Consider the following 24802-nt stretch of genomic DNA (forward strand, 5'->3'; position numbering starts at 1 on the left):
CACCTTCTAGCTGTTTTAACTCACACATCACCAAAAGAGCTGCTACAATCTGTAGAACCTCACATTCTAAAACAAGTGCCATTTGAGGTTTGGAAAACTTCTATTCCTGGCCGTTCAATATCAGCCACTCCTGTCATCATTCAGCTTAAAAATTCCAATAAGTTCCCCAGAACCCCCCAATACCCCTCGAAACCAGAAGCATGAAAAGGGCTAAAACCTCTAATAACAAAAATGTTTAACCCGTGGATGAGTGTACCCATGCAACTCACCTTGTAACACCCCCCTTTTAGCTGTAAAGAAACCAAATGGCTCCGACCTTAGAGTCATTACTGAAGCTGTTATTCGTATTCATCCTATTGTCCCAAACCCTTACACCTTTTTTGGACAGATTCCCTCCACTACAGCTTGTTTTACAGTTCTTGATCTTAAGAATGTGTTTTTCTACATTCCTGTATGCTCAGATAGCCAATATTTGTTTGCTTTTGAATGGCAAGGCCCAGATACTCAAATAACTCAACAGTTAACTTGGACAGTTCTGCCCCAGGGATTCAGAGATAGCTCCCACCTTTTTAGACAGGCCCTAAAGACCTGTCCACACTGCAGCTTCTCCCAGATAGCAATCTACTCCAGTATGTGGATGACATATAATCTGTAGTCCTAGCAAAGCTGTTCCAGACCAAAATACTGTATTAGTACTAAACAAACGTGCTGATTATAGGTGCAAAGTATCTCCTTCTGAGGTACAAATATCCACACAGGGTGTTCAATTTTGGGGTCTTATCTTAACTCCCAGCACAAAGAGCCTCTCTAGCACTTGTAAAGATCTTATCTTAGGCCCGGCACAGTGGTTCACACCTGTAATCCCAGCACTTTGGGAGGCTGAGGCAGATGGATCACTTGAGGTCAGGAGTTCGAGACCAGCCTGGCCAACAAGGTGAAACCCCATTGCTACTAAAAATACAAAAAAAGTGAGCTGGGTGTGGTGACAGGTGCCTGTAGTCCCAGCTACTCAGGAGGCTAAGGCAGAAGAATTGTTTGAACCTGGCAGGCGGAGGTTGCAATGAGCCAAGTTCATGCCACTGCACTCTAGCCTGGGTGACAGAGTAAAACTCAGTCTAAAAAATAAACAAAATAAAATAAAATAAATAATAAATTAAAAAATAAAATACAAAATATAAGATCTTATCTTAAACGTGACAACTCCAGGAACTAAACAACAGCTTGGGTCCTTAGAGGGTACGAATATGAACTCCTCCCTTTGGATTAATAGCAAAACCTTTACATGAAACCCTCAAAGGAGCTGAGGGACAACCTCTAACATGGACTAATAATATGAAGCATGCTCTAAAGACTTTAAAACAGGCTTTAATCTCAGACCCAGCCTTAGCCTTACCAGATCTGACCAAGCCTTTCTTTTTGAATGTACATGAACGAAGGGGAATCACTTTGGGAGTTTTAGCCCAAGATCTGGGGCCCTCTAAGTTCCCTGTAGTGTATTTTTCAAAACCTTTACTTGGCATCCCAGGAATGGCGCCCCTGCTTAAAAGTCTTAGCAGTGGTGGCCCTGTTAGTCCAAGAAGCCTCAAAAATAACTCTAGGACAAACCTTAATGATTTTTATCCCCGCATCAGGTCTTGGATATTCTAAATTTTAAAGCCTTCTATTGGATTTCAGATAATAGAATTCATAAGTACCAATCACTTTTTTTGCAAACTCCTGAATTATCTATAAAACCTATGGCTGCTCTTGGACATTCCTGTGTAGAAACTATTGATCTTACGTGCAGTGCTAGGGCTGATCTAAAGGACACTGTGCATAAAATTCCTGATTCTACCTGGTGCACTGATGGTGGCAGGTTCATTTTAGAAGGAGAGTGTCAGGCTGTGCTATAGTTAGCCTAACTAAAGTCATAGAATCAGGTCCTCCACCCAGAGGAACCACCTTGGCTCAAAAAGCTGAACTAATAGCCCTTACCATAGCTCTCTAACTGGGGACTGGAATAAAGCTCAAGTGACTTACATCCTGACTCAATCTGTGTGTCACGTAACGCATGCCCATGAAGCCACTGGAAGCAAAGAGGATCTCTCACAGCCCAGAACACCGCCACTAACCATGCACCTCTCACAGCCCATAACACCCCCATTCAGCATGTCCCTGAAATTTCAACCTTGCTAGAAGACATACATCTCCTGATTGAAATAGCAAAATCCTTCACTGTCCGGCTCATCAAAAAGATAACTCAAATCCTGCCAGAGGGGATAATTATGCAGATAAACAAACTAAATCAACTGCTTGGCCACCCTCTTTCCTCACCCAATCCCACCAAAACCCCAGCACACCCCACAAAATTTACAAAAGGCACTAAAACAGGGTTTCACATTCATTCCTGAAGGATGGCTTCAAAACTCTGAAAATAAACTTCTCCTCCCTGAGGTTCCACAATGGAAAATCCTCTAAAATCTCCATCAAGCTAACCACCTGGGGGTGGAAACTTTACAAGCCTTAAGAGATCCTCTTTTTCAAGGGCCTAACCTAGCCTAGCCCCAACTCTATGGGACATTTCCCAATCCTGCCCAATTTGCTGTCAATCAAATCCTGAGGGTGCAATGAACCCCCTGCCCTCCTCCAACCTATTCAACGTAGAGGGCCTGTCCCAGGGGCGTACTGGCAAGCTGACTCTGCCCACATGCCCTCTCATAAGGGATTCAGATACCTTTTAGTCTTTATAGACACTTTCACAAGCTGGACTAAAGCCTTCCCACTCGAACAGAAAGAGCATCAGAAGTAACTACGGCTCTTTTAGAACACATTATTCCTCGATTTGGGGTCCCTCAATCCCTCCAATCAGACAATGGCCTGGCCTTTATTTCTTCTATTACTCCAGGAATCAGTGAGGCCCTCCAAATAAAATATCACTTACATGCTGCTTACCACCCACAGTCATCCAAGGGCCAAGCTAGCTTTGAAAACCCTTCTCACTAAGCTCTCTATAGAAACTCAACTGTTTTGGATAACTTTTCTTCCTATTGCCCTGTTAAGATCTAGAGTAATTCCCAAAGGTTTCAACCCACCTTAGCCCTTTTGAAATTATTTATGGATGCCCCTTTTTACAAACGGACTTATTACTTGATCCAGAGGCTCATTATCTGTCTCAATGTGATGCCTCCCTGGGCAAACTATCCAGGCCACTACTGAATACCAGGATAAATTTTGTCCAAAATCTGACCCCTCCTCATCAGAACTAAGACCTCCTGTTAACCTGGGGACTGGGTATATTTAAAAACTTTGCCTCCAGACAGAAAACCCCTTCCAGCCCTCTGGACTGGACCCTTTCAAGTCCTCATAGCCTCTCCCACAGCTGTTAACTGCAGGGATTCTCCCCTTGGGTCCACCTTTGCCACATAAAGTCTGTACTGCCGCCAGAACTCCAGCCTGCTTACACTTTGAGCCCTTGGAAGATCTATGATTTTTGTTTTGCAAACAACCAGGTGACACTAACCTCTCTTCAAAAGCAAAGGATACCACGTAAGCCTTTTGCTGTGTTTATCATTCACTTTCCTTTCCCTCCCTTGTCATTCATTTCCTTATGTACTCTAGAAGCGTTTTTAGGTCCTCCAATTTTCTGAGATTATCCTCAATTCACTTACTTTTTTTTTTTTTTTTTTTTTGAGACAGAGTTTTGCTCTTGTCACCCAGGCTATAGTGCAATGGTGCGATCTCGGCTCACTGCAACCGCCATCTCCCGGGTTCAAGTGATTCTCCCGCCTCAACCTCCTGAGTAGCTGGGATTACAGGCATGCACCACCATGCCCGGCTATTTTTTTTTTTTTTTTTTTTTTTTTGTATTTTTAGTAGAGACAGGGTTTCACCATGTTGGCCAGGCTGTTCTCACACTTCTGACCTCAGGTGATCCGCCCGTCTCAGCCTCCCAAAGTGCTGGAATTACAGGCATGAGCCACCACACCCAGCCAATTTACTGTCTCTTTATCCAATCCCCATTTCTCAAGACCCACATACAATTATTCAGCTTGCACTAGATTTTTATTTGCAGGGTGGTTTTTCTAATTATACTTGGAGCAACTTTTGTAACAGTCCTTGAATTAGAACAATGAGACTCCTTTTTTCTTTCTTTCATGTTTTTCTCTTTATCTCTCATATAAAAACTTCCCAATCCTCTTGGTTTGACAATATCATCTTCAGCATCTCACATGCTATTGTGAGAGGAGAAAATACTCTGTGTGGCTGGCTTTGCCGTCCACAACCTGCTACTCCAAGCCATGTAGATTCTTCTTCGTAAGCACACCCTGTCTCCAATCAAACTGTACTGTTGGGATTTCATTATTCTTCTCACCACTCCTTCCCACCCCGACCATTTCCTTCTGTGCTGGTAAATTGGAAACCACCTCCCTCTTCGTGCTATCATATTACTTCCCCCACCATCCACACTTACAATATCACTGAAACTTCCTTAACTTGTAATGTTATTTTGGGAGGTACACCTTGTTATAATGACACTCATGCAGCTAACTTTGACTCATTTGAGGCCTTCGCCTCCTACAATCAAAACTCTGACTCTGGCCAGGTGCGCTGGCTCACACCTGTAATCCTAACACTTTGGGAGGTAGAGGTGGGTGGATCACCTGAGGTCAGGAGTTCGAGACCAGTCTGACCAACATGGTGAAACCCTGTCTCTACTAAAAATACAAAAATTAGCAGGGCGTGGTGGCAGGTGCCTGTAATCCCAGCTACTCAGGAGGCTGAGGCAGGAGAATCGCTTGAACCCAGGAGCAGAGGTTGCAGTGAGCCAAGGTCACACCACTTCACTCCAGCCTGGGCAACTGAGTGAGACTCCATCTCAAAAAAAAAAAAAAAAAAAATCTGACTCTATCTCATCACTGCCAATTTATAAGCCGTTAAACTGGACCAGTATAGTGGGGCTCCCAGTATACAGCACCCCTGCACTCCTAATACCTTCATGTATGTTACTATAATGATGCAACCAGTGCAGGAAATAACCACCGTGCCACCTGGTTTACATCCTATGCCATGCACTGGCACCCGCCTGCTTTTAAACCTCCTCCATCAGTACATAAACATAGTCTTTCCCCCATATGAGTCCTCTTAAAACTGTCAAAAGGCCCATTTCCTTTTTTCCCAACATTTTAATTAAAATAATCATCCTGCCCCTCCTGGGCTCTTATGGCTTAGCAGCCCCACTAAAAACTATTTAAACCCTTTTCAAGCTTTGGCCCTATCCCACCTTGATCATTCTCTTCACTATGGTGATTGTAGCCTGGGAACAATAGCTCCCACCCAAATCACTGTCTTAAACATCACTTCTAATTCAGAATTCCCTTCTAGAAGGAAAAGGGCCCTGGGACTTACTGTGGCCGGAGTTGTGGGAACTATCACAACTCTTACCCCTTGGGGAGGTTTTACTTACCAGGAAATCACAAGTAAGAGAACCTACCGCCTCCCTTGAAATAGCAAAAGCTGGCACCCATCTATCAGCTCTACAAGTCATTAGACTCACAAGCAGGATTTTGGTGTCTGGTAACAGGTGAGTTCTGGATTACCTCCTAGCTGAACAAGGAGGGGTCTGTGCTGTCATCAACAGGACCCGTTGCACCTACATTTATGTGTCTGGAGAAGTGGAAACCGATGCCCAAGAAATCATCAAACAAGCCAAATGGCTACACACACTTTCCCAAAGCAACCAAGACTGGGCCAAAACTTTTACTGATTGGTTTTCAAAAAATCACTTGGCTTCCCCCATTCCTTAGACCTTTATCTTCTGTCATTTTTCTTTTAATATTTGGTCCCTGCCTTTTTAATGCTCTGATTGCTTTTCTATGTTCTACATGAGAACAATTCCACCTGCAGAAGGCTATGCATTCCCAACACTGGCCTGCAACTGCAGCTCGATTTACATGGGGCTTCTTGATGGAAATACCGGCCTGCAACTGCAGCTCCCATTTACGTGGGGCTTCTTGATGGAATCCCATCACGTGCCTCCGTGCACAAGTTTTCATGACCCTTTATTCCCTTCATGACCGAGAGCAAGAAAGGGAAAAACGTGACCTACCCCCCTGAACTCCCTTTCAGCAGCAAGTAGTCAGGCGCACTGGACACCCCTCTTCACTGTGCCGTTTCCCCTTTCTTGAGACCCCAACAGGAAGCAGGTGGACATGAGCATGGCAGAAAAGGAAGGGTCAAAGATTTCACCAAGATATTTGTCAGAGGGAAAATGAGGACAGCAAAGATCACCTGGAGACCATCAAGCAGGCCCCAGGTGGGGTGGGTGGAGGGGAGCCTCTTTATTTGAGAAATGTAGAATGAATTAGACTTCCCTATTATCTAAAGTTGGCACCTGGTTCCAGGCCTCTTTTCAACCTAAAACTTATACATAACTAGAATTTCTATACATCTCTGGAATGCAGCATGCTGAAACTCACTGTGCAACCCCTGCCTTGTGTGTGTCTGTATACCATGCAGGTTTGCTTGCTAAATTGAGCCTGTAAACCAAAAAGTACCTCAAACAGGTCTCAATTAATTTAGAAAGTTTTTGTTGCCAAGGCTAAGGATGCACCCGTGGTACAGCCTCAGGAGGGAGGACATCCTTGCCAAGCTCAAGGGTGCACCCCTGACCACAAGGGCCCAAGGTGGTCGGGGCACAGCTTGCTTTTATACATTTTAGGGAGATATGAGGCATCAATCAATACATGGGAGATTTACATTGGTTCCATCTGGAAGGGCGGGACAACTTGAATTGGGGGGCTTCCAGGTCATAGGTAGATTTAAACATATTTTGATTGGCAACTGACTGAAGAATTATTATCAGCAGAAAGGAGTGTCTGGGTTATGAAATAGGGGTTGCAGGGAGCAGATGATGCCTTCAGGTAGCGGGATTTAGAGAGAAAATAGATGGTAAATGCTTCCTATCAGACTTAAGGTCTATGTCGATGTTAATGCTGGGGGTTATGATGTGGCATGGCCTGAACGTCTTCCGGGTTAAAGTTTAGAGCACCCTGGCGGACAGGGAACCCCATTCAGATGGTTGCTGGGGGGCCTTCGAATTTTATTTTTGGTTTACAAGCCTTCCCATCAGCTGCGCCAGGGTCAGCAAACCACAGTCCATGGGCCCAATCTGGCCTGCCACCTGCTTTTTGTAAATAAAGTTTTATAGGAACACGCCCACACCTCTGGCAGCTGCTTTGCAAGCACGCAGCAGGGTTGAGTTGTTGCAACATAGACCACAGGGCCTGCCAAGCCTCAATTATCTGTGCTCCGACCCTTTAAGAAACACTTCTCTCACCCCTGAGCTAAGCAGAATAAGAGGGGCTGGACGTGCAGGACTCAGAGTGGGAGCGAGGAGGGCTGGGGTGAGGACAGCTTTGTCACACTCTGTTTTTCTGTCACTCAGCCCTGGGGGCTCCCTCTGCCTGAGGGCTTCGTCCCCTGCTGCCTGGCCGTGACCCGCAGCACAAGCACAGATAAGCCTCAGGGAACAAAAGGCAGGGCTGCCACGGAAGCCCATCCACCAATCCTCACCTCTCACCTCTGTGTCCGCCCTGCTGGGAAATATTCCAGGCTTTGGCCAAGGCCAGTGCAGCCCCAGGTTCCCGAGCGGCAGGTTGGGTGCGGACCATGGCCTCTCACAAGCTGCTGGTGACCCCCCCCAAGGCCCTGCTCAAGCCCCTCTCCATCCCCAACCAGCTCCTGCTGGGGCCTGGTCCTTCCAACCTGCCTCCTCGCATCATGGCAGCCGGGGGGCTGCAGATGATCGGGTCCATGAGCAAGGATATGTACCAGGTAGGAGTGGGGGTCACTCGGGGGGCCTGGGTCTCACCCATGTTCCCACCCACAGATCGTGGACGAGGGAAGGGGGTCACTGCCTCCTCACTTGGGGAGGCGGGGAGCCTGGGTCTCACCCTATACCACCCGCATGCAGATCATGGACGAGATCAAGGAAGGCATCCAGTACGTGTTCCAGACCAGGAACCCACTCACACTGGTCATCTCTGGCTCGGGACACTGTGCCCTGGAGGCCGCCCTGGTCAATGTGCTGGAGCCTGGGGACTCCTTCCTGGTTGGGGCCAATGGCATTTGGGGGCAGCGAGCCGTGGACATCGGGGAGCGCATAGGTAAGGGAGAGGCCCAGGTGGGGATGGCCCTGGATCCATCCTTCAAGGCCTCCCTGGCCTCCCTCTGTTTGAAGCTGGCAGCCCCCGTTCCTGGGTGAGCGCTTACCCACCTTGTGGCCCTGTGCGCACGAACCTCCTGCCAGCCCACTGCCTCCTCCAGGCGGTGTCGGGCACTCATGAGGCCTGACTCTGATAGGGCTGGGAGCAGCACAGGTGCCCCGATCCCCCCAGTCTCCTTGAGCTGTTTCTGGAGCATGTGCAGGACGGAACTACAGGGAAGCCTCTGGTCCCAGCACACACTCCTGAGAGCCCCGGCCGCTGTCCAGGGCCCCAGGCACCAGCTCTGCTTTGTGACAGGGTGGGGTTTCAGAAGCTGAAGCCTCCCCTCAAATCTCAGCAGCCTTCCTTCTGGAATCTTGATGTGATACACAAAATATGGAGGTATGGGCAGAGTATTCGCCTCCGGAGTACACTTTTCTGGGAGAGACACAGGAGCAGGAGTGTGCCCTGGGTTTAATGATTGATTGTGGCATTGAGGGACATCAGCTTGGTGAGCTCCACAATGGCCATGCTGGTTAATACGCGACCGCAACAGCCAAGAGGGTCCCAACCCCAAGTCCACAAACTTTTCAAGGGGACCCAGGGTCGGCAGAGGCCAGGACCCCAAGTGGACATCAGGGCACGCAGGCTCAGATGCCTGTGGTATATGGCTTCCCTTTTCCCCATTCTGTCCCCTTGGCCGCAGGTTCTTCCCCTCCCACAACCTGGCCCTGAACAGCACACAGGATAGGGCAGAGACAGGGAGGGGGTGAGGGCCTGATTCCTGGAGTCCCCAGCTCCAACAGAGGTCAAGGCTGCTGCCTCACTCACCCCTCATCCTTCAGTCTGTCATCCATCACACCTGTGGTGTGCCAGCCCTGGACCAGGTACACTCTTTGTGCCAGCCCTGGGCCAGGTGCAGCCCTGACTCCCGGGAGCTCACTCTCTGCTTGGGGAGGCACTGGTCAGTGTGGCCTGAGAAAGGGCATTTGAGCTGAGCTCTGTCAAGAGTGCCCCAGGAGCGTTGGCTCCAACAGCAGGGGGGTCAAGATGGCCCTGGCTCTACACACAGAGAGGCTCTCATTGGGCAGAGTCCACCCTCCTCTTCAGGCAGGCAGCCAGGGTGCCACGGTGGGTGGGGTCCAGCCCTCACAGGGCCCTGCTCAGCAGGGCCACGGGTGCCCAACACTGGCTTCTACAGTGTGTGCGGGACACTCACGGCCCACTCTGTCCTGCACCCAGGAGCCCGAGTGCACCCGATGACCAAGGACCCTGGAGGCCACTACACACTGCAGGAGGTGGAGGAGGTAGGGGACCCGGGGTGGGGGTCAGGGCCGGGAGGAGGTGGGAGTGGGCATGCTGGCTCAGGGGCTGCCTGGAATTGGCCAGCCAGCAGGGTGGGATCATGGCCGGGAGGCTGGTGGCTGACCCTCAGCCCATCCTAGCATCTGGTGAGCGGCCACAGGGGAGGGTTCCATTACCTGGGAATGGTGGGAAGACTGGTAAGGAGGCTTCTGTCTGGCAGGGAAACTGAGTCAGGAGCCTGGTCCTGTAGGCAGGGCCAGAGAGGCTGGAGGCAGGAGGCCGAGTTGGAGTCTAGGCTGCAGAACATGTCCCTGACACTCAGGATACCCCACCCTGTGGGCTGAAGTCAACCTCAGCCTACCCGGAGTGTGGGGACTCAGTCCATCTAGCAACAGCCCTCACAGGCCAGGCAACAGGCTGGGGGCACCCTCCTCCATCTCTGCACCAAAGTCCTGTTCTTGGAAAAGCCCTTGTCCCGGAGCGGAGATGCCCCAGCCTCCTCCTCCCATGCACACCATCAGGGAGGAGTAGAGGCAGGCCCAGCCCCTGCTACCTGGAGCTGTGCCACCCATGGGGGGTTTGTGGGGGTGTTCTGGCCCCTGCCCCTCTGAGCTCCACCCACAGCCGTCCCTGCTTCCTCAGGGCCTGGCCCAGCACAAGCCAGTGCTGCTGTTCTTAACCCACGGGGAGTCGTCCACCGGCGTGCTGCAGCCCCTTGATGGCTTCGGGGAACTCTGCCACAGGTGAGCCTGGCCCCAGGGCGGTGGACTGGAGCACAGCTCAGAGCCAGGCTATGGGGAGGGGTGGGCACTGGTCCCTCTGGTCCTTCTGCCCCTGGTCCCCACCCCAGCCTCTGTCACATGGTATGGGGTGCAGGCACCTCCCAGGTCCTCTTTGCTCTGGGCTGAGTCTAAAGACAACCCCAGGTCCCAGGGCAGGCTCAGGTGCTCCCTGGCCGAGCGCCCCCATAGTGCCCACTGACCTCTGTCCCCAGGGCTGAAGAGGGCTTGGTGCAGACTTCCATATCTTGCCAGGGCCTGTCCCCACCTCACCCCGAGATTGCCAGGACACTAAAGCTGCCTGATGCCCTCCACTTCCCTCCTCCAGCCTCCCTCATCCCCGCATGGGGGTGCACAGGGCAAGGCCTTGAATGGAGTCAGATGGGATTCCTGAGAAATGCGGACAGAGCCCCTTGGGACCCAGCAGTCCCGTCTGCAGGTCTGAGCACAGGACAGAGGAGAGAAACTCCACGGCCAGGGAGGGTCCTTCTGACAGGGCCCCCAGCCCAGACAGCTTGCTGCATGGACCGTGGCCATGAATAAAGCTCACAAACATAACCTGGCCAGCTTCAGCAACACCCAGGCCATCCCCACCTGCGGCCAGCACGAGATACTTTCTGTGTCTCTTTTTTCTTTATAAGAAAACCTGGAGGTGGAGGAGGGTGAGAGTTTGTGAACATGGAGGCGGAGGAGGGTGAGAGTTCGTGAACATGCAGGCGGAGGAGGGTGAGAGTTCGTGAACATGTAGGTGGAGGAGGATAAGAGTTCGTGAACATGCAGGAGGAGGGTGAGAGTTCGTGAACATGCAGGAGGAGGAGGGTGAGAGTTCGTGAACATGGAGGAGGAGGAGGGTGAGAGTTCGTGAACATGCAGGCGGAGGAGGGTGAGAGTTCGTGAACATGCAGGTGGAGGAGGGTGAGAGTTCGTGAACATGCAGGAGGAGGGTGAGAGTTCGTGAACATGCAGGAGGAGGAGGGCGAGAGTTCGTGAACATGGAGGCGGAGGAGGGTGAGAGTTTGTGGCGCTGCTGCTTGGGCTGTTCTGGGACTCTGTCCCCTCTGGCCTAGATTCTGGCCAGTGGCTGGGCCGAGCAGCTGTTGGCAGAGGTAGGCCCAGCCTGGTGCCACCCTGGTCCCTGGGGTCCACACAGGCCCTCAGGCACCCGCTGTCCCTGGGAACCACAGACTGCCCGGCTGACCCTCTTCAGCACCACTGCCGGGCCCTGCAGCTGGGTCTCACCAGGGCCGTGATGCTCCCTCACTCCCCCAGCTCCCTCTGCTCCAATGTTCAGGGCTGAGAAAGGAAGAGCCACAGGTCCTGATGGATCCTGACAGGCAGGAGAAGGCAACTGGCCAACTCCTGGGGTGGAGGTGGGAGGTGCCCTGCCTTCCTTGCCAGCCTGAGGCTCAGAAACCCCATCCAGCCTGGGGCCAGGCCCTCCAGTGGCCCCCTGCCTCACCTGCTGCCCTCCATTCTGTCCCCCACCTCTCCAGGTACAAGTGCCTGCTCCTGGTGGATTCGGTGGCATCCCTGGGCGGGACCCCCCTTTACATGGACCGGCAAGGTAAGGGTGGGCTCTGAGAGCCCTACCCAGCCCAAGCAGCCTTGGGGCTCCGCGTGCAGGAAGCCCTGCTGGAAGCGTGCGTCCAGCAGCCGATGCTGCGGATTCGGCCCCATCTCCACCAGGCCCAGGGAAACACTCACTCCTTACTGCGGCAAGAGCGGCTCCATGAACTACCCAGCACCCCAGTGTTTCCACTGAGCTTTCAGATCCAGGCGTGGGGACTGGCAGGAGGGACAGCTTCTGGTGGGGGACATTTGAGATGCCCCAGAGCTGTAGCAGAAGCAGTGGGAAGAGGAAGGGCCAGGGCTCCAGTCAATCAGGCGTTGGGCACCCCTCTGCCCAACCCCCCAGAGGCTCAGTTTCACATCTGCCCTGCGCCCTGCCAGGCTGCCCATAGCAGTGAGCACCACTGTCAGGGTCACCTCGCAGGGAACCTCAACCAGGCCGGCCGAGGGGCCAAGGAGCCTCCTGTGCCCATCCGCTTACGGGAGAGAGCCTGCACATTGCATCCACTGCGGTGCCTGCCCACCCACTCCATGGGAGCCTGTCTGTTTCTGCAGAGCCCCTCCTGATTTGGGAGTTCTCAGGCAGGAAGGGAGGGATTTCTGGGCTGATCCTCAAACTACTACTGAAAGCAGGGACCTGGGGAGGGCCCCAGGGACACGGTGCCTGGGGTGGCAGGGCTGTCCCTGGGGACCAGCACAGCAGAGGGAGAAGCTGCGCTAAAACGCTCAGGCCTGAGGTCATGGCTGCCACGCAGCAGTGCCCAGATTTGAACCCAGGACTCCCTTCCACATCTCCCCTGCTATCGTGTACGGATTCGTGGTAGGGTCGTAGCCTACCAGCCCATTAGCTAGGCAGGCATCCCGCTGGACTGGCCTGCCCTGAGGTGGGACTCACCCGTCCCGAGCAAACCACCCATCTACAGGCATCGACATCCTGTACTCGGGCTCCCAGAAGGCCCTGAACGCCCCTCCAGGGACCTCGCTCATCTCCTTCAGTGACAAGGCCAAGTGAGTGACCCACAGACCCTCACCTCTGTGCAGGGCTGGGCTTGCAGGGAGCTCAGGTGGCCCGAGGCGGGAGGGGCGGGAGCCAGGCAGGAAGGGCTCCCCATGCTCCTCCAGCACCTGGCGCTCTCCCGCCCACCCTCTGGGAGGCCAAAGGCACTGCGTTCACAGGGAGTGGGGAGGCCGGGCGAGGGGAGGGCTGCAGGCGTGTGCAGGGTGCAGAGTCCACTGCTCTGGAAGTTCCCAGCTTCACAGCAAGGAGTGACCAGGAAAGGACTGAGGGCCTGAGGCCCAGTGCCCTGACCGGCCTCTGCCCTGGCTCAGCTTCCAGGGGCTGCCCCAAGGGACAACGTGGGCCACACACAGTGCCCCCTGCAGTCCCAATCTCACCTCCCGCTCCTGGTGTCCAGATTCTGAGCCAGGCCGGGCAGGGGGTAGGGGAAGGGGGCCAGACCTCACAGGCGGTTCCCATCCAGCTGCAGCCTGGCAACTGGAGGTGCCGTTCCCCAGAACAGAGAGGACTTCGGGGAGAAGTCAGGAATTCGGTGTTGGACGTGGGAGGTCTGAGATGCCAGCTGGACCACACGGGAGGGTGAAGGAAGCGGCTGGGTGTGAGTCAGGAGCCTGGGGAGAGGCCGGGGCTGGCCCCTCCATCTGGAGTTGTAGAGACGGACACATTTAAAGTTTCAAGCCTGGCCAGTGTCCCCTGGGGCCCGAAAGCAGTCACCTTTGGGTGATGTGAGAAATGAAGGCTGACCCTGTAGGAGGGGCTGGGGGAGAGAAAGGGGCACACAGAGTGGAGGGAGCTGGCCTTGGTGCCCCCATGGCAGGGTCACACAGCTGGGCCCAAGGGCCAGCGGGACTGGACAGCTGAGGGACCCACGACCCACCCGGTCCCACTCTGGCCCCTGAGCACAAATGCAGCTGGGGCGGGCCCTCCTGGGGGCCCCACCCCGTCTCACTCCCGTGAAACAGGACAGCCAGCGAGACTGCCCTGGCCTTCAGCCCAAACTGAGAGGCTGGTGCTCAGCCTGCTTCTTTCTCCCCAGAAAGAAGATGTACTCCCGCAAGACGAAGCCCTTCTCCTTCTACCTGGACATCAAGTGGCTGGCCAACTTCTGGGGCTGTGACGACCAGCCCAGGATGTGAGGCCTGGCAGGGATGGGAAGGTGGAGGGCGCTGGGCATGGCTGAGAGGTGGGGCGCTGGCCTCTCACTGCACTCAGGGATTCTCCAAGCCCCCCACCTTCATGCCTCAAGAACCCCAACTAGAGCCCCAGAATCCGCCTGCATCAGGCAGTCAAATGCCCCACCCTGGGTTCCCCCATTCCTCGACTGGCCCGAGGCTCTGGGCAGGGTCATGGCCCCCACTGCCGCTTCCACAAACACTGTCCCCCCAGAGGTCCCAGCACACCCTCGGGCACTTTGGACCTGGCCCTGCCACATCTCCCCACTCCTGGGCCTCAGCTTACCCCTTCTGAAAAGACGACCTTGGCCATAAACCCAAGGCCCCTTATGTTACACACAGGAACAAGGCGCCAGGAATGGTGCCCTAGCCCAGTGGGCACAGAGGGCCAGTGCCGGCTTCGCAGGCACGCTGGGACTGAGGGGCTCCGCAGGGAGGTGGTGGCACGTGTCTCTGCTCCTGCAGCCACCCACTGCCTCCTGGCTGGGCCCTACACAAGCCATGCTCTCCCTGGCAGACGAAGCTGCCTTCCCGGTCCAAAGTTCTGAACCCGGACAGGACTCCTCTGCGGAGGATACCGGCCTGTGGTCAGAGAGCCTGTGCTGTTGGGGCTGGGGCAGACAGAGCTAATGCCCCATCTGCCCCCAACCCTGCCCATGGTGCTGGACCAAGCCCCCTCGTGTCTTCCAGGTACCATCACACAATCCCCGTCATCAGCCTGTACAGCCTGAGAGAGAGCCTGGCCCTCATTGCGGAACAGGTGCATGGGCTGCACTCCACAGGAGGAGACAGGGCCACTGGCTGGATTGTCGAGGGCGCGGCCTGCAGAGAAGGAACCATCCCTGGTGCACAGAGAAAAGGGAGCCTGCCAGAGAGAGGCCCTCAGTGGGGGTGGGGGAGAGAGGACAGGGCCCCGGGTACACTGGCTGCGGGCAGGGCCAGGGGGATACAGCCCCAGGGACAGATGCAGCAATGGGGCAGGTGTGGATGCTCCCAACCCTTCCATTGCTGTGTGAAGCAGTAAGTGAGGCCCAGTGAGTGGGTGGGCTGGGAGAAGGGGAGGCCGAAGGGGCCAGAGATGTGCCCACAGATAGGTGGGCGTGGATGTAAAGTGAGGGTTGGCAGTTCCTGCAGGCTTGTCCAGCTCCTATGGCAGGGCAAGAGCTGAGCATGAGCACTTGGGTGTGACCAGGGGTTGATTTGGCCACTGCAACATCCACACTCTCAGGACACTGCAACATCCACACTCTCAGGACACAGGCGGCTGAGAGTGGCCTCAGGCCCAGCAGCTCTGCAGGCCACGAGACAGGAAGTCCCACCTACTTTCATCTGGGTCCTGTGTCCCACAGGGCCCATTGCCAGCCACCAGTCCAGAGTCCAGGAAGGATCCCCGGGCTGCAGCCAGCTTCCCATGAGGTTGCAAGGCCGTGCCTGCCACGTTTGTCCTCCTGGGTCCACTCATAAAGCCACTGCCTAGGGCTGGGTTAGTGCCAGGGTGCCCCTGTAAGCTAAATGCCACCCGCACCCGCGGGGGAAGGCGAGGGGTCAGGCGCTCACACAGGGAAAGGCTCTAGGGTCGTAAAGGTGGGTGGGGGGTGTGAGCTGGGCAGAGAAGGAAGAGAACAGGACCAGACAGCAGGGCACAGTCAAGGGCAGAGGCACAGGGACCTGGCAGAGTGCAGATTGCAGGGGCACATGCGCAGAGAAGACGGGCCAGGGCCAGAGTAGAGAGCAGCTGCTGCTCCGGGGACCCACCTGGGGTGGCCATGAGAGCTGGTGGCTGGAGGCCGGGAGGACCCGTGACCAGAGGTAATGGCACTGAGGGGCCCAGGGCTGGAGAGACCACCCCTCACCTGTCCAGAGCTGAGGCAGGAGCAGTGCTGCGGAGGATGCCAGGTCGGGGGAGCTGGCCCTGAGAGGAGAGGGGGCCTGGGAGCCAGCACCCTGAGCCCTGGCCCTGATCCACTCCAGCCCTGTGTAGCCCAACAGCCCTTCCCCTCCTTGCCCAGTCCCCTCCCCCTGCAAGGCACTCTCCACTCTTCTCCCCCAGGGGCCACAGGCAGACCTCCCCTCTGTCTCTCTGAACCCTCCTCTGTCTCTCCCAGACCCAGATGTTTCCTTCTGCCCTGGGGTAGTCCCAGGCCCTGCCCCAGGCAAAGTCAAACTGGGGGCTCCAGGGGCTCCCCTGCACCAAGGCCTGCAGAGTCAGGTTCTTCCTCCCGCACCACAGAGGGCGGGGCTTCCTGCCCACCCCACCCATGTCACTGCCCACCAGCGCCATCTCCCACACAGGGCCTGGAGAACAGCTGGCGCCAGCACCGCGAGGCCGCGGCGTATCTGCATGGGCGCCTGCAGGCACTGGGGCTGCAGCTCTTCGTGAAGGACCCGGTAAGGAGGCCCCTGGCATTGGGCAGCCCTGCACCCATGGGGAAGGATGAGGGGCTCTTGCCCAGCCCCCTCAAGAGGGACACTGGCTCCTGAGAAGGAGGGGGCGGCTGCCCGGTGGTGTGGCCTCGGTGCCAGGGATTAGTCTCGGCAGGAGCCACGAAGTCACAGCTCCCGGCCTCTGATGCGGGATCTCAGGACGGCCTGTGATCTCCCAGTGGGAAGGTGCCCATCCACCGCCTCCTAAGGGGTGGGGTCCCTGCTCTCTCCCGGCCCTTTCTCCCCCGGCTCCTCTGGAACCTGAAGCTGGGGCAGATGGTGCAGGCCAAGAGCTGTCACAAAGGCCCGTACAGGGCCTCTCACCCACGCACTGAGCCAGGCCCCTCCTGCAGGCGCTCCGGCTTCCCACAGTCACCACTGTGGCTGTACCCGCTGGCTATGACTGGAGAGACATCGTCAGCTACGTCATAGACCACTTCGACATTGAGATCATGGGTGGCCTTGGGCCCTCCACGGGGAAGGTGAGAGGGAGCGCCTCGAGGGCCTTTTGCAGAAACCAAACCCGCCACCCCTCCTTGAGCAGGACTGTGCACCAGGTGCAGGGGAGGCCGGGGTCATCCGAAAGCCCAGATTGCAGGAGCGTCCAGAAGGGCCCACTCTCCAAGGGGTATCCAGTAAAGCGTATCCTGTCGCCCCTGCTCCCACCCCAGCCCACTGAGGTCACCAGGTGCAGCCTTTATGATTCCACTCGGAACATCCTTCCTTCCCTCTGACCAGACCCTGGAACCAGGCCGGAAGCCCCACGCCTGGGCCTGGCTGTGTCTCTGAGTGGCAGTGGGGAGGGACCTTCACTGCACCACCCTGTCCTCCCGTGTGGCTGCGGGTGCAGAGGGAGGAGAGCCTGCCCTGGCCTGGGTGCTCAAGGGCCCCCTCTGTGACCTGCACAGGGCTGTCAACTCCCCTCATGGACGCTGGGTGGGTGGTCCTCACTCAGGTGAGCCCATCCTGGCTCTGGCCAGCTGTCGGTCAGGGTCAGGCAGGTCCCAGGCGGGAGGCTGACGTCAGCCCGCCCTGTGCCCCCCAGGTGCTGCGGATCGGCCTGCTGGGCTGCAATGCCACCCGCGAGAATGTGGACCGCGTGACGGAGGCCCTGAGGGCGGCCCTGCAGCACTGCCCCAAGAAGAAGCTGTGACCTGCCCACTGGCACACAGCTGGCACTGGCACACACCTGTCCCATGCCCACCCTGAGGGATCAGGAGCAAACAGACCCTGCAAGGTCCTCCAGGCCTGGGGACAGGAAAGCCACTGACCCAGCCCGGGAGGCAGAACCAGGCAGCCTCCCTGGCCCCAGGCAGCCCTTTTCCCTCCAGTGGCACCTCCTGGAAACAGTCCACTTGGGCGCAAAACCCAGTGCCTTCCAAATGAGCTGCAGTCCCCAGGCCATGAGCCTCCCGGGAATGTTTAATAAAGGGCCTGGCCAACTCTCCTCACTGTGTGGGGTGGTCTGTGAAAGAGTGAGAGGAGAGCATCTCTGCTCCCTGAGCTGCCTGATTGTGGACTTTAGGGGGACACTCCTCATCCTGGAGCCCACAGGGTAGATCCTCCCCTGGAGGAGGTGCTGTCACCACACTCTAGCCCCAGATGTCACACCCCCAAACGTCCTCACGCACCACATCCAGGTGAACCCACACGGCGCACAGGGCTGGTTGGAGACCCCTGTCATGGACAAGGGTACCTGCGTGCTGGAGAGCGCACAGCCAGGACCTGAGCCCATGACACGTGGAAGCCTCCAATGGAAGGTCCCCTATGCTCCCATCCAGCCAGTGCCCACCCCTCAACTGCCTGACTTCTGTGACCATAGATCAGCCTGGCATATTTGAATTTATTTATTTATTTTGAAACGGAGTTTCACTCTTGTTGCCCAGGCTGGAGTGCAGTGGCACGATCTCAGCTCACTACAACCTCCGCCTCCCGGGTTCAAGCGATTCTCCTGCCTCAGGCTCCGGATTAGCTGGGACTACAGGTGTGCACCACCATGCCCGGCTAATTTTTGTATTTTTAGTACAGATGGGGTTTCACTATATTGGCCAGGCTGGTCTCGAACTCCTGACCTCAAGTGATCCACCTGCCTCGGCCTCCCAAAGTGCTGGGATTACAAGCGTGAGCCACTGTGCCCAGCCATAGTTGAATTTCATGGTCAGTGGAACACACAGCAGGTCCTCCACTGTGCCAGCTTCTTTCACTTACTGTTTTTGACACTCACATGTACCGTCGTGGGCGCCGGTGTGTCTTTGTTGCTGAGTGCCGTCCCGTCATATGGACGTGCGTCGTGGGCGCCGGTGTGTCTTGTTGCTGAGTGCCGTCCCGTCATATGGACACCTCATGATTTGTTGGTTCATCACCATAGTTGAGCATCTGGGTTATTTCTATTTTGGGGCTGTTATGAATACGGAGGTAGTGAAATTCTTACTCAAGCCTTCGTGTGGCCATATATTTTCATTTTTCTTGGATAAATAACTAGGAGTGGAATTGCAGGGTCATACAATAGGCTTAACCTTATACGAGACTGCCACGAAATTCTCCGAAGTGGCTCTTCCATGTTTCATTCCCGCAGCTACAGCGTCCAGGGTGCTCCACGTCCTCACCCACACTCCATGTTGTCTTTTTTTGCTAGGGGGTGTAAAATCCTGTCTGATTTGGTTTTAGTTTGCATTTCCCTGATGCCTATTGATGTTGAGCAACTTCTCATGAGCTATCGGCCGTTTGTAGATCTTCTGAAAAGTGTCAGTTCAAATATTTTGTTCATATTTGGATTTTTATCTTCTTATTGTCAATGTGTGATCATTTTAAAATATATTCTAGATACTATCAGATACGTGTGGCATGAATATTTCCTCCCTCTCTGTGGCTTACCTGTTCATTTTCTTTTCTTTTTTCTTTCTTTCTTTTTTTTTTTTTTTTTTTTTTTTTGAGAAAGAATCTCACTCCGTCCAGGCTGGAGAGCAGTGGTGTGATCTCAGCTCACTGCAACCTCCACCTCCCGGGTTCAAGAGATTCTCCTGCCTCAGCCTCCCAAGTAGCTGGGATTACAGGCATGCACCACCACACCCGGCTAATTTTTGTGTTTTTTTGTAGAGACGGGGTTTTGCCATGTTGGCCAGGCTGGTCTCAAATTCCTGACCTCAAGTGATCCACCCACCTCAGCCTCCCAAAGTGCTGGGATTACAGGCATGAGCCACCACACCCAGCTTACCTATTCATTTTCTTAATTGTGTCTTTCAAAGAGCAGGTATTTTCAATTTTGGTGAAGTCGTATTTATGAATGAGTTTTTTTCTATGGTCTGGGCTGTTTGTATCTTGTCTAAGAAACCTTTGCCTACTTTGAGGTCTGGACGGTATCTTCCTGTGTTTTCTTCTAGAAACTTTACAGTGTCAGCTTTTGTATTTAGGTCTATGATACACCTCATATTAATTTTGTGCACAGTGTAGAAAGGGGGTCAAGGTTCATTTTTATCCATACTGATATCCCAGTTCCAGTAACGTTTGTTAAACAGACTTTCCTTTCCCCATTGAACTGACTTGACAACTTTGTTAAAAATCAGTTGACTACACATTCATAGGTCTATTTACAGCCTCTCTTCTGTTTCATTGCATCCTCGTGTCAATCCCATGCTGTTGCAAATATTGTAGCTTTACAATAACTCTTGAAATTAAGAACAAGTCCTCCAATGTTTTTCTCCCTTTTAAAGGTTTTTTGTATTCTACATCCTTTGAATTTCTGTGTACGTTTTAGATTCATGTTGTCTATTTCTTCAGAATAGCTTGCTGAAATTTTGGTAGGAACTGCACCAAATCTATATATCAAGTTAAGGAAAATGGAAATAAAGTATAAATTCCATTTCACAAACAGAAATGTAAGTATTTTAAAATTACTTTCAGCAATGTTTCTAGTTTTCAACATACAGCAAAGTGGGAGGGGGTTATTTAAGGAAAGCCAGGAACCCAGGAACAGGAAAGCCACTGATCCAGCCCAGGAGGCAGGACCAGGCAGCCTCCCCGGCCCCCAGCGGCCCTTCTCCCTCCAAGTAGAACCTCCTGGAAACAGCCCACTTGGGCGTAGATCTTTTGTTAGATTTATTCCTAGGTGTTTGATCTTGTTGATGCTGTTATAAATGGCATTTGAAAATTTTCATTTCCAGTTGTTTATTTTTTAATATATAATCTCATTTTTTTCTATATTAATTTTGTATCTTCTGACCTTCCTAAATTCACAAGGCCTAGTAGCTTCTTTGTAGATTCCTTTAAATTTTCTAAGTAGATAATCAAACTCTCTGTGACTAATGAGAGTTGTACATCTTCTGCCTTTTATGTACTTTTTCTTGCTTCATTGCAACGGTGTAGGCCACAAATACAGTGCTGAATCTCAGTGATGAGTGTGCACCTTCTCGCCTTGGAGACGTGTTTAATGTCTCAGCGTCAGGCTGACGGCAGCAGTGGGGTTTCTGCAGCTGCCCTGCTCTCACAGGCAGGAAGTCCCCACCTGTCCTAGTTTGCAGAGGGTATTTATCACTAACAGCTGTTGTATTTTGTCAAATACCTTTTCTGCCTATGGTGAGATGATCATAAAGTTATGTTTCTATATTCTACGGATGTGCTGTTTTGTTGACTGACCTCTTATTTTCTCGTAATATATTTGTCAGGTTTTGATAGCAAGGTTACATTGGTCTTGTAAAGTGGTTTGGACAGTATTTTCTTTTCCTTTATTTATCAATTAAATTTGTCTAGAATAGGGACTATTTTTTTTTTCCTTATATTTTGGTAGAATTGTCCAGTGAAGCTTTATGGGACAGGAGCTTTCTTTATGGGAAGGATTTTTTTAATGACTTCTAATGTTTTCATAGACATAGAGTTCTTTAGATTTTTGTCTCTCTCTTTGTGCCCGTTTTGGTAATTTGTGTTACCCAGAGCATGCTTGATTCCAAGTTGTTGAATGTGTTGGCATAAAATCATCCATAATATCCCTTTATTATCCTTTAATGCTTACGGGCTCTCTATTGATTTCCCTGTTTCATTCCTGGTATTGGTAATTTATATTTTCTCCTTTTTTTTCTCCCATTGATCAGTCTTGCTAGGGGGTTACTGATTTTATTAGTCTCTCCAAAAAAGCGACATTTACCATCATTTTCTCAATTGTTTGCTTTGTATTGATTTCCACTCTTATTGTTCCTTTTATTTTACTTCCTTTGGTTTTAATTTGCTCCTCTTTTTCTAGCTTCCTATGGTAGAAGCTTAATTGATTTTAAACATTTATTTGTTTTCTAGTATGAGCATTTAAAGCTAAACATTTCCCTCTGAGCGCCTTCTTCACTGCATCTCCCAAATTTTAATCAATGGTGTTTTTGGAATCACTCAGATCAAAATATTTTATAATTTCCTTGTGATTTATTCTTTGAACCACAGACTATTTAGACTTATACTGTGTAATGTTCAGATATTTGGTGGATATTCTAAATGTATTTTTGTTTTTTATTTCAAATTTATGTCTGTTGTGGTCAGAGCTCATACTGTATATGGACTTCAGTATTTTGAACATGTACTGAGAGTCTGTTTTATAAACTAGCAGCAGTCTCGGTGACTATCCCATGGACACGAGATGAACGTGTCTTCGTCATTGTCAGGTGTGAGCTTCTACAGATCCTCAGGTCCGCCTGGATGACAGCATTGTTCAAGTCTTCTTTGTATCACTGGGGTTTTGTTGTTGTTGTTTGTTTTGTTTTGGTTTTTTGCCTGCTTTTTCTATGAAGTACTGAGAGTGGGGTGTTCAGTTCTCCCAGCATGAATGTGGTCTTGTCTCCTTCTCCCTTTATGCATTCATCTTCATGATTTTGAAGGTCTGTTGTTAGGATTGTTACACCTTCTTGATGAACTGACTATTTTTATCATTGTGAAATATCGCCCCTTACCTCTGGTAATACTCTTTGTCTTAATGTTTGTGTGTTTTCTTTCCTTGGGCCACTTGTCTCTCCATACAAAAGAGATGAACGATTTCTATTTCTTTTCTTTTCTTTTCTTTTCTTTTCTTTTTTTGAGACGGAGTTTCGCTCTTGTTGCCCAGGCTGGAGTGCAATGGTGGGATCTCGGCTTACCGCAACCTCCACCTCCCAGGTTCAAGCAATTCTCCTGCCTCAGCCTCCCGAGTAGCTGGGATTACAGGCACCTGCCACCATGCCCGGCTAATTTTTTGTATTTTTAGTAGAGACGGGGTTTTACCATGTTGGCCAGGCTGGTCTCGAACTCCTGACCTCAGGTGATCCACCCACCCCGGCCTCCCAAAGTGCTGGGATTACAGATGTGAGCCACCGCGCCTGGCCCAGTTTCTATTTCTTGATACTCTGCCCATGCGGAGGATTTTCCCTCACCACTCTCTTCTAGGAACCCTGAGTTGGGAAAGTCCATTTTGGTTCGCACCAAAAGACCAAGCCATCATATCCATGAACCAGGCTCAAGATTTTCTTCCTCGGTCATCTAGTCCCAGGGAACCCTCTCAAGGCGATTATGTGTGAGGTTAAAGGAGAGGCACAGGTGCACGTAGGTGATGATAGGGTGACCCAGGCCATTGTTCATCTAACTGACTTGTTTCCACCCACCCTGCTTGGCCTGGCCCTGAAGAGGCCATGTCCATGTACAATGGATTGCTGTTGCACCACCACTGCCACCCCCAAACTTAGGACCCCATAACATTCAGCTCATGGTGGGCAGCTCAGGTCACACAGTTACTTGGTGTCCCCTGGCCAGGGGCCCAGTGTCACACCAAATGCTGCTTTTGAACAGTGAGTACTTCTCTGCTGCAGACAATTTGCTCTCGTTCCAGGACTTCACCTCCTCTTTTGGGGTTTGCCAGAGATGCCACATGGTGCCCCTTTCTACTGCAGATACCATTGGCACCATGGTGGTATCATAGCGTGAATCTACTCAAGAACCTGCCTGTGCCCTGGCCCCACTCAGAACCAACAGCCTTCTGAGTCCCCCAGCAAATGGACATTTCCAAGTGAGGTGCATGCAGCCTCCAAAATCCAATGAGGCCCACACAGCACCATGCCTGTTCTTCACAGTAGGTGGGGCAAGGTACAAAAACTTCCCCTTTACCTTGGAAGCAATGTCTCAGCATGCCCCAGACCACTGAGCCTCTAAAGTCTTAATCTCTGGGCCAGGCCCTGAGACTGTAAAGTTTGTCTCCCACCCTCTGGAATGAATGGTCTTAGAAGGCATCCAAAGAACTTTCCAGTCAATCCTCTCCAGTTCGAATTGGCATGATGTCATCAATACAGTGAACCAGCGTAATATTCTATAGACCATCCAGGTGATGAAGGCCCATTAGGCCTACATTGTGACAGAGAAGAGAGGGTTAACATCAGTCTGGGCCAGACAGTGAACTTATAATGTTATCTCTTCCAAGTGAATGCAAACCGTGTCTGAGCCTCCCCTCTGATGGGGATTGGAAAGAATGCCTTTCTCCCAGGCCAGTGACCACATACAAGTTCCAGAGGCCCTGCTGTCCTGTTGTACTAAGGATACCACGTCTAGCACAGCACCTGGACTACGGGTTACAGCTTGGTTAAGTTTATGTAACCCACTACCATTCACCATAATCCATCTGGCTTCTACTGGGGCCATATTGGTGAATTAAAGTCTCTGAAAGTAGAACTAAATTCCGTTAGTACACCCAGGATGTGGTATGTTTTGCTGGGTTATCTTGGCCATGGGAATAGGGATGATTTTGCAATAAACTTCCCCTTGGCCCTTCCTGCTATTCCAGCTCTTACTCCTGCAATGTACAGCCACCCTGCTTCACAATCAAATGCCAAGGGGATGGCCACAGGGTGGGCCTGGCCCTTCGGTTCCATTATGAATCAGATGTGAACCAAGATTCTGCTTCTACCAGCCCCCATTCTAATGGGGGAGGAGTGATGGCATTTTGTGTCCCCTTTTGTGTGTGTCAGCTCAGGCCCTGGATCTTGCAGCCTTCAAGGGGCCTGGGCATCTCCTGTCGTGAGTCTGTGCTTCCTCTGGCAGATGGCCAGAGGTCCCTTTCAAGGAGGCTCCAGGGAGCTGCTGCTGCATGAATTGCAGGTCCCCTCCAAGAGCCAAAGGTGTGAGCTGTGGCTCAGGCACTGAGGGGTCAATGCCCCTGAGAGGCCAAAGATGGAGAATAGGAAATGTCCAATGGGCAGGACCCATGCAGGTCATGGGCTGCAGGCAGGCAGTGCTGGGCTGATGAGAGAATGTGAGTTGTGGGCACAAAGAATGGTAAGGACAGAGTGGGGGTGGCATCAGATGCCAGGAGAGGACACCTTACATCAGAGAGGGGGGATGTTTAGTAGGTTCTTGTAC

The 24802-nt window shown here is 52.6% G+C and overlaps 1 protein-coding gene across 1 annotated transcript, besides 1 other annotated feature; it reads left to right on the top strand.

Moving 5' to 3' along the window:
• Window positions 7125-7625: an enhancer, noted in NCBI's record as "H3K4me1 hESC enhancer chr2:241807760-241808260 (GRCh37/hg19 assembly coordinates)". NCBI's record gives its function as "activates a minimal SCP1, AML or CMV promoter by ChIP-STARR-seq in primed H9 embryonic stem cells {active_cell/tissue: H9 hESC(primed)}" and the evidence as "EXISTENCE:reporter gene assay evidence [ECO:0000049][PMID:30033119]".
• On the top strand, window positions 7606-19282 carry AGXT (alanine--glyoxylate aminotransferase). The gene is made up of 11 exons (NM_000030.3): window positions 7606-7812; window positions 7952-8144; window positions 9426-9490; window positions 10131-10231; window positions 11761-11831; window positions 12760-12844; window positions 13891-13986; window positions 14717-14786; window positions 16319-16414; window positions 16804-16932; window positions 17496-19282. Exons 1-11 carry the CDS (start codon window positions 7648-7650, stop codon window positions 17601-17603), a joined length of 1179 nt encoding a protein of 392 aa, NP_000021.1. The 5' UTR covers window positions 7606-7647; the 3' UTR covers window positions 17604-19282.

This window comes from Homo sapiens, chromosome 2 (assembly GCF_000001405.40).
Source record: "Homo sapiens chromosome 2, GRCh38.p14 Primary Assembly".
Taxonomy (NCBI): domain Eukaryota; kingdom Metazoa; phylum Chordata; class Mammalia; order Primates; family Hominidae; genus Homo; species Homo sapiens.

Excerpts from the sequence above, each read along its gene's own strand:
- AGXT (NM_000030.3), top strand. The coding sequence starts at position 7,648 with ATGGCCTCTCACAAGCTGCTGGTGACCCCCCCCAAGGCCCTGCTCAAG. Across the intron at positions 9,491-10,130 it reads CACTGCAGGAGGTGGAGGAG|GGCCTGGCCCAGCACAAGCC; the intron begins GTAGGGGACCCG and ends CTGCTTCCTCAG. Across the intron at positions 13,987-14,716 it reads TGTGACGACCAGCCCAGGAT|GTACCATCACACAATCCCCG; the intron begins GTGAGGCCTGGC and ends CGTGTCTTCCAG.